Consider the following 9,942-nt stretch of genomic DNA (forward strand, 5'->3'; position numbering starts at 1 on the left):
TATTTGTCCTCCACTTATAGAAAATCATGTTGCAATATATAAATTACAGAGAAGCCAGTAAACTATCAAAAATAATATTGATGTTATATTACACAAAAGTACTACAGCGTATGTATAAATGGTAAGTATTCTGATATTTATAAGTTAGATAAAATGTAACAAAAATAAGGATAGAAAGTGGCATATGTGGTGCATATAATACTCAGATAGCACTGAACTTTTTATGGAACCTGTAATTGGTGTGTGTGTGTGTGGTGTGTGTGTGTGTGTGTGTGTGTGTCTTCATTTTATTTCAATTAATTAATAGACTTTATTTTTGAATAGTTTTAGAGTTAATAGGAAAAATGAGCTAAATACAGAGAATTCCCATGTCCCTCTTTATCATCCCAAACATCTTTATCTCCTTTTAATGTACACAACTCAATGAATTTGGATATAAGTACACACCCGTGAAACCATTTTAACTTGAAGTAAATGACAGTTTTACATAATGTTATATTTATGGGTTCCATGGGAACCAGTTTGTTCTGTTGAATATGAGCTCACTTCATAAATGAGGATGAAACTATAGCTTTTAAATAGAAGCTGATAACGTCTTTCCATCTCCAGAGAATGCCATACACAGACATTTTTACCCCTTCTCACATGGTTTTGACCCAGAACATGTCAAAAAGTACCTTCTTGCTGTATTCATCCAACTAGATACATAACTCTGTAAAGTTTTCCTCTGTGAGTGCTGCAAAATATATCTATAGAAAAATATATATATATATTCATCAATTTGTCACTCTTGTCTTTCTCAAGGGCAGACAGTTTCTTCTCTATGACATGTCAACACATACCCAGAGGGTCTAGTCATATATGTCAAAGACACACGATATTTTTATAATAGCAGTGAAGTTTCCATTTCAAGAATCTGGTCTATAGCCAAGTAGTAGATACAACTCAACAACACTCCAGCTTGCTATGAAACCCTGGTCAAAGCCAGGGCTATGCTGCTGTTATAGAGGAAGAATTATGCCAAGACAGTAATTTGTAATTAAAACTAACTTTTCAGTTCTTTTTCTCCTTCATAACTACAGCTTTCCTCTCTCATTTCTTGAAATACATTTTCTCTTTCCTTGGCTTAATGTTCAATTCATTGTATCTTGGTTTTCTTTCTAACTCTTTTCTAACAATTCTCATTTTGTTGTTGTCTTGTTTTTCTGTTTTGCTTTTCCCCCATCTGCTTCTCTTCTGATTAGGGAACTTTAAGTATCAGTATCTTTCTTTTCCCTTCTCTTCCTTCTCAGGACAATTTTCACAAACAAAATTACCAAGGATCTGTTGATATTCCTAAAACTATAGCTCCATGAAAATTTGGCTGCATAATAATTCTTGGGCACTTTATAATTTCTCAAACTTAAAATGGCAGTGATTTAACTTAATATATGTCAATCAAAATATTTTCCCTTTCCTATGTGATTTATCTGAGTGAATGGGGCCAGTGACATTCATATCAGTCAACTTTCACTAGATTATGCTATGCGAAAACAAAACAACAACAACAAAAACCTTCAAACATTATTCAGTTTAGGTAATTCTGTTCAGTTACCCAAACTAAAGACCTGGGTGTTATCATTAAACACTTCCTCTCATATATAACCCATAACCAATTGGTCAAAAGGCTTTGTTAAAAAGGTTTGTTTACTCTTTTCCCTTATTTTCTCATTTTTTTCTACTTTTACTACCATTACTTAATTTATCAGTATACATCTCTTGTCTGAATTACTGCAGTAGCTTTCTAAACCAGTGCCCTTTCACTAGTTCTGACTGGCTTTATATAATTATATTCTCCCTGCTATAGGAATAACATTTCCATAATATGAATGCATTAAAACATATATTTTGGTATAGATGGAATTGCTGTTTCACGATATTTTCTCTTCCTGAAGAAAAATTATAGTTTCCCAGCTCTGTAAATTCCAACTTGATTGTATGATTTGCTTTAATGAATGAGGTTTGTAAAGAAATCTGGCAGGGAGGATTGTTTGAGAGACAAAACATATTTACTACAGTCTCTCTTACCTCTGCTACTGTTGAGGGGTGAAGCCAGCTGGACATCCTGGGTCAAGTGGGGACTTGGAGGACTTTTCTGTCTTACAAGAGGATTGTAAAATGCATGAATCAGCAGTCTGTAGCTAGGATTGCAAAATGCCTCAATCAGCACTCTGTGGCTAGCTAGAGCTTTGTAAAATTGGACCGATCAGCACTCTGTAAAATGGACCAATCAGTAGGATGTGGGCAGAGACAAATAAGGCAATAAAAGCTGGCCACCCCAGTGAGCAGCAGCAACCTGCTTGGACCCCCTTTCACGCTGTGGAAACTTTGTTCTTTCGCTCTTCACAATAAATCTTTCTGCTGCTCACTCTTTGGGTCTGTGTCATCTTTAAGAGCTATAACACTCACCGCGAAGGTCTGCAGCTCCATTCTGGAAGTCAGTGAGACCACGAACCCACCAGAAGGAACAAACTCCGGACACATCTTGGAAACTATGAAGGGACTATCGCCAAGTGGTGAGTACCATTGGACCCCTTTCACTTGCTATTCTGTCCTATTATTCCTTAGAATTTGGGGGCTAAACACCGAGCACCTGTCAGCCAGTTAAAAGCAACTAGCATGGCCGCTGGACTAAAGACATGGGTGTCAGGCTTTCTGGGAAAGGGCTCTCTAACAACCCCCAACTCTTTGGAGTTGGGAGCGTTGGTTTGCCTGGAACCAGTTTCTGCTTTTCTTGTACTTCTGGGCTGAGCCGAGGGTTGACAGAGAGAAAAGCCATTCAGCTCCGGAGTCCCAACAAAAAGTTGGTTGACCCTGTAGCCATGAGGGGAACTCTCAAAGTCACGTCGCCCAAGTGAGACTTGACCATGTATCCTATCTATCCTCATCCTTGCCTCCTGGGTCCTAATGCCTGTCAGACAAACTTCCTCCTGTGTCTTTTCTGAGGCTAGTCCTGCTTCTAAAAACCACTCCCTTCTCTGGTGATTTTCTAGTTTCTCTTATAAGAATGATTTCTAATATAAATGTCAGGACTCTGTTCCCTTCCTTAGGCACCCAAGCTCACCAATCAGAAAGACGTAATTTTTGCCCAAAGCCCCATCAGGGTAGCTGGTGGGGGGTTTACTATCTGGAATTTTAGGATCCCTCTTCAGACTTGCAGGCCTAACAAATTATATCCCTGAAGCTAGGATATGGGGAGCCTCAGAAATCATATCCTTCCTATCCATATGATGAGAAATGAGGAAAAAAGGTGTCACTCTTCCAACCCTGGAGATCCCTTCCCTCCCTCAGGGTATGGCCCTCCAAATTTGAGACATAACGTCTTTATAGGACAAGGGTAAGTTCTAAGCAGAAAATGCTTAGAACGCTAACAAGCTTATGAGAATGCATCAGTAAGGGCCACTAAATCTGATTTTTCTCGGACTTCTTTGTGGTCTAAAAGGAAAGGCAAGGGTGCAGGTTTTTGAGAATGTGTCAGTAAGAGCCACTAAATCCGACCTTCCTTGGTCCTCATTCTGGACTAGGAGGAAAACTATTGTTTCTGCTGCTGCATCGGTGAGCACAACTATTCTGATCAGCGGGGTCCAGGGACTGTTGAGGGTTCTTGGGCAGGGGGTGGGAAACAAACCAAAACTGCAGGCGGTTTTTTCTTTCACATGGGAAGCACTCAGGCCTCAACAGGCTCAACCTTGAAATGTATCCTAAGCCACTGGGACCAATTGGACCTGTGAACCCTGACAAAGAGGCAGCTGATCTTTTTCTGCCCTATGACCTGGCCCCAATATTCTCTCTCTGATAGGGAAAAATGGTCACCTCAGGGAAGTATAAATATTAATACTATCCTGCAGCTTGATCTTTTCTGTAAGAGGGAAGGCAAATGGAGTGAAATACCCTATGTCCAAGCTTTCTTTTCATTGAAGGATAATCCACAACTATGCAAAGCTTGCAATTTACATTCCACAGGAGGACATCTCAGCATACCTCCATATCCTAGCTTTCCTATAGCTCCCCTTCCTATTAATGATAAGCCTCCTCTAATCTCCCCTGCCCAGAAAGAAACAAGCAAAGAAATCTCCAGAGGACCACAAAAACTCCCAGGCTATCAGTTTTGTCCCCTTCAAGTTGTAGGGAGAAGGAAATTTGGCACAACCTGGGTACATGTCCCCTTCTCCCTTTCTGATTTAAAGCAGATCAAGGTAGACCTGGGGAAGTTTTCAGATGTCCTACAGGGTCTAGGGCAAACCTTTGACCTCACTTGGAGATGTGTCTTGCTATTGTTAGATCAAACCCTCACCTTTAATGAAAAGAATGTGGCTTTAGATGCAGCCCGAGAGTTTGGAGATACTTGGTATCTTAGTCAAGTAAACGATAGAATGACAGCCAAAGAAAGGGACAAATTCCCTAACAGTCAGCAAGCCATCCCCAGTATGGATCCCCACTGGGACCTCAACTCAAATCATGGGGACTGGAGTCGCAAACATCTGCTGACCTCTGTTATAGAAGGAGTAAGAAGAATTAGGAAAAAGTCCATGAATTATTCAATGATGTCCACCATAACTCAGGGAAAGAAAGAAAATCCTTCTGCCTTCCTCGAGCAGCTACAGGAGACCTTAAGAAAATATACTTCCTTGTCACCCAACTCTCTCAAAGGGTCAATTGATCCTAAAAGATAAGTTTATTACCCAATCAGCCACAGATATCAGGAGAAAGCTCCAAAAGTGAGCCCTGGGCCCTGAATAAAATCTGGAGGCATTATTAAACCTGGCAACCTTGGTGTTTTATAATAAGGACCAAGAGGAACAGGCCGAAAAGGAAAAGTGAGATCAGAGAAAGGCTGCAGCCTTAGTCATGGCCCTCAGACAAACAAACCTTGGTGGTTCAGAGAGGACAGAAAATGGAGCAGGCCAATCAACCAGTAGGGCTTGTTATCAGTGTGGCTTGCAAGGACATTTTAAAAAAGATTGTCCAACGAGAAACAAGCTGCCCCCTCACCCATGTCCACTATGCCAAGGCAATCATTGGAAGGTGCACTGCCCCAGAGGACAAAATTTCTCTGGGCCAGAAGCCCACAACCAGATGATCCAACAACATGACTGAGGGTGCCCGGGGCAAGCGCCAGCTCATGTCATCACCCTCACTGAACCCCAGGTACGTTTAACCATTGAGGGCCAGGAAATTGACTTCTCCTGGACACTGGTGTGGCTTCCTCAGTGTTAATCTCTTGTCCCAGACAGCTGTCCTCAAGGTCCGTTACCATCCAAGGAATCCTGAGACAGCCTGTAACCTGGTATTTCTCCCACCTCCTCAGCTGTAATTGGGAGACTTTGCTCTTTTCACATGATTTTCTTGTTATGCCTGGAAGTCCCATACCCTTATTAGGGAGGGACATATTAGCGAAAGCTGGAGCTATTATCTACATGAATATGGGGAACGAGTTGCCCATTTGTTGTCCCCTGCTTGAGGAGGGAATCAACCCTGAAGTCGGGGCATTGGAAAGACAATTTGGAAGGCCAAAAAATGCCTGCCCAGTCCAAATCAGGCTAAAAGACCACACCACTTTTCCTTATCAAAGGCAATATCCCTTAAGGCCTGAAGCTCATAAAGGATTACAGGATATTGTTAGACATTTAAAAGCTCAAGTCTTAGTAAGAAAATGCAGCAGTCCCTGCAACACCCCAATTCTAGGAGTACAAAAACCGAATGGTCAGTGGAGACTAGTGCAAGATCTTAGACTCACCAATGAGTCAGTAATTCCTCTATACACAATTGTACCCAACCCTTATACGCTGCTCTCTCAAATACCAGAGGAAGCAGAATGGTTCGCTGTTCTGGGCCTCAAGGATGCCTTCTTCTGTATTCCCCTCCACTCTGACTCCCAGTTTCTCTTTGCCTTTGAGGATCCAACAGATCACACATCCCAAATTACATGGACAGTCTTGCCCCATGGCTTTAGGGATAGCCCTCATCTATTTGATCAGGCACTAGCCCAAGATCTAGGCCACTTCTGAAGTCCAGGCATTCTAGTCCTTCAGTATGTGGATGATTTACTTTTGGCTACCAGTTTGGAAGCCTCATGCCAGCAGGCTACTTGAGATCTCTTGAACTTTCTAGCTAATCAAGGGTGTATGGCATCTAAATTGAAAGTCCAGCTCTGCCTACAACAAGTCAAATATCTAGGCCTAATCTTAGATAGAAGAACCAGGGCCCTCAGCAAGGAATGAATAAAGCCTATGCTGGCTTATCGTCACCCTAAGACATTAAAACAATTGTGGGGGTTCCTTGGAATCACTGGCTTTTGCCGACTATGGATCCCTGGATAGAGTGAGATAGCCAGGCCCCCTCTATACTCTAATCAAGGAGACCCAGAGGGCAAATACTTATCTAGTATAATGGGAACCAGAGGCAGAAACAGCCTTCAAAACCTTAAAGGAGACCCTAGTACAAGCTCCAGCTTTAAGCCTTCCCACAGGACAAAACTTCTCTTTATATGTCACAGAGAGAGCAGGAATAGCTCCTGGAGTCCTTACTCAGACTTTTGGACAACCCCACAGCCAGTGGCATACCTAAGTAAGGAAATTGATATAGTAGCAAAAGGCTGGCCTCACTGTTTATGGGTAGTTGCGGCTGTGGCAGTCTTACTGTCAAAGGCTATCAAAATAATACAAGGAAAGGATTTCACTATCTGGACTACTCATGAGGTAAATGGCATATTAGGTGCCAAAGGAAGTTTATGGCTATCAGACAACCACCTGCTCAGATACCAGGCACTACTGCTTGAGAGACCAGTGCTTTAAATATGCATGTGTGTGTGTGGCCCTCAACCCTGCCACTGTTCTCCCAGAAGATGGAGAACCAATGAAGCATGACTGTCAACAAATTAGAGTCCAGAGTTATGCTGCCTGAGAGGATCTCTTAGAAGTCCCCTTAGCTAATCCTGACCTTAACCTATATGCTGATGGAAGTTCACTTGTGGAGAATGGGATACGAAAAGCACATTATGCCATAGTTAGTGAGGTAACAGTACTTGAAAGTAAGCCTATTCCCCCATGGACCAGAGCCCAGTTAGCAGAACTAGTGGCACTTACCCAAGCCTTAGAACTAGGAAAGGGAAAAATAATAAATGTGTATACAGATAGCAAGTATGCTTATCTAATCCTACATGCCCATGCTGCAGTATGGAAAGAAAGGGAGTTCCTAACCTCTGGGGGAACCCCCATTAAATACCAGAAGGAAATCATGGAGTTATTGCATGCAGTGCAAAAACTCAAGTAGGTGGCAGTTTTACACTGCTGAAGCTATGGGGAAGGAGAGAGGAGAACAGCAGCATAAGTGGCTAGCAGAGGCAGTGAAAGACTAGCAGAGAGGAGAGGTAGGGGAAAGACAGAAAGTCAAAGAAAAGAAGTCAAAGACAGACAGAGAAAGAGACAGAGGGAGCCAGAGAGAAAGAAAAGAGAGAAAGAAAGAGACAGAAAGTCAAAGAAAGAGAGAGAGGAAGAGACAGAGACAAAGAAGGAGTCAGAGAGAAAGAGATAGAAAGTCAAAGAGAAAGAAAGTGAGAAAGAGAGATGGAAATAGTAAAGAAAAAACAGTGTACCCTATTCCTTTAAAAGCCAGGGTAAATTTAAAACGTATAATTTTATAATTGAAGGTCTTCTCCATAACCCTATAACATTAAAATACCACCTTGTTGTCAGTGTAAACAAGAGCATAGCCCAAAAGCACTGAGGCCACTGACAACCCATAGCCTTCCTATCAAAAATCCTTAACTCTGCAGGTTTCCTAACAGGGGATCTAAATCTTAACTAATCACCATACAAAGGTCCGACCAGACCTAGGAGAAACTCCCTTCAGGACAGAAGGATGGATGGTTCCTCCCAGGCCATTAAGGGAAAAAGACACAATGGGTATTCAGTAAGTGATAAGGGAACTCTTGTAGAAGCAGTTAGGAAGATTGCCTAATAATTGGTCTGCTCAAATGTGCCAGCTGTTTGCACTCAGCTAAACCTTAAATTACTTACAGAATTAGGAAGGAGCCATCTATACCAATTCTGAGTTAATATGAACTGAACAAGTTCTTATTAATAGCAAAGAATCATTGAAATCTCAAACTTGCAAAGTTTTCAACAAAAGTAAAGTTTGCTGAAAGTTAACAGTGTAACATGTATTATCCTAACTTCTAATCTTGTGGAAATCAGACCCTATCAGTGCCCCTCAAAGCTGAAGTCCATCAGCATATGGCCATACAACTAATACCCCTATTTATAGGGTTAGGAATGGCCACTGCTACAGGAATGGGAGTAACAGGTTTATCTACTTCATTATCCTATTACCACACACTCTTAAAGGATTTCTCAGACAGTTTACAAGAAATAACAAAATCTATCCTTACTCTATAATCCCAAATAGATTCTTTGGCAGCAGTGACTCTCCAAAACCACTGAGACCTAGACCTCCTTACTGCTGAGAAAGGAGGATTTTGCACCTTCTTAGGGGAAGAGTGTTGCTTTTACACTACAGTCAGGGATAGTAAGAGATGCCACCTGGTGTTTACAGGAAAAGGCTTCTGAAATCAGGCAATGCCTTTCAAACTCTTATACCAACTACTGGAGTCAGGCGACATGGCTTCCCCCCTTTCTAGGTCCTGTGACAGCCATCTTGCTATTACTCATCTTCAGGCCCTGTGTTTTTAGACTCCTTGTCAAATTTGTTTCTTCCAGGATTGATGCCATCAAGCTACAGATGGTCTTACAAATGGAACACCAAATGAGCTCTACTAACAATTTCTACTGTGGACCACTGGACTGACCCACTGACCCTTTGGCTGGCCTAGAGAGATCTGCTCTGTAGGACACTACCACTGCCACTGCAGGGCCCCTTCTTTGCCTCTATCCAACAGGAAGTAGCTAGAGTGGTCATCACCCAATTCCCAACAGCAGTTAGGGTGTCCTGTTTAGAGGGGGGATTGAGCGATGAAGCCAGCCGGACTTCCTGGGTTGAGTGGGGTCTTGGAGAACTTTTCTGTCATACAAGAGGTTTGTAAAACACACCAATCAGTGTTCTGTGGCTAGCTAGAGGTTTGTAAAGTGCTCCAATCAGTGCTCTGTAAAAACGCACCAATCAGCGCTCTGTGGCTAGCTAGAGGTTTGTAAAATAGACCAATCAGCACTCTGTAAAATGGACCAATCAGCAGGATGTGGGCAGGGACAAATGAGGGAATAAAAGCTGGCCACCCCAGCCAGCAGTGGTAAGCCACTCGGGTCCCCTTCCACGCTGTGGAAGCTTTGTTCTTTTGCTCTTCACAATAAATCTTGCTGCTGTTCTCTCTTTGGGTCTGTGCCATCTTTAAGAGCTGTAACACTCACTGCGAAGGTCCACGGTGCATTCTTGAAGTCAGTGAGACCGCAAACCCACCAGAAGGAACAAACTCCAGACACACTGTCATAGGTAAAGTCCCACAAAATGCTTGCATTGTTGCTTTGTCTACCAAACACCTAGAATAAGGAAGATAATAACAGAACCTAGCAGAGCTCCTGGCTATCTGGGAAGTATGCTTTATAAGGGTAAGAACTGTGCCTATGTTGTTTAAAGTAACAGAGATATCATGGTTGTTTATTACTGCAGCATAACCTTGTCTACACTGACTAGTGAAACATTTGGCTACAGAGCCTTTGAAGCACTTGCCATGTTTAAAATATTTCCTCCCTCGAACTTAGTGACTCAGAGCCCATGTCTTACTTTGTTAGTTGATGTGCTTCCAGAGAAACAGACAGATAGATAGATATGTCTATCAATCTGTGTATTTATCCATCTGAGAGAAATTTATCTTAAGAAACAGGCTTGCACAATTGTGGATGTTGGCAAGACAAAAATCTAAAGAGTAGATGGGCAGAGTGAGGAATCAGG

General features: G+C 42.2%; 1 long non-coding RNA gene across 1 annotated transcript; it reads left to right on the top strand.

The window, feature by feature from the left end:
- The first annotated feature begins 2,329 nt into the window (after positions 1–2,329).
- LOC124901179 (uncharacterized) lies at positions 2,330–9,363 on the top strand. The gene is made up of 2 exons (XR_007059129.1): positions 2,330–2,555; positions 8,757–9,363. It is a non-coding gene; the product is annotated as an uncharacterized LOC124901179 (long non-coding RNA).
- Positions 9,364–9,942: the final 579 nt, after the last annotated feature.

Source organism: Homo sapiens, chromosome 5 (assembly GCF_000001405.40).
Source record: "Homo sapiens chromosome 5, GRCh38.p14 Primary Assembly".
Lineage (NCBI taxonomy): Eukaryota > Metazoa > Chordata > Mammalia > Primates > Hominidae > Homo > Homo sapiens.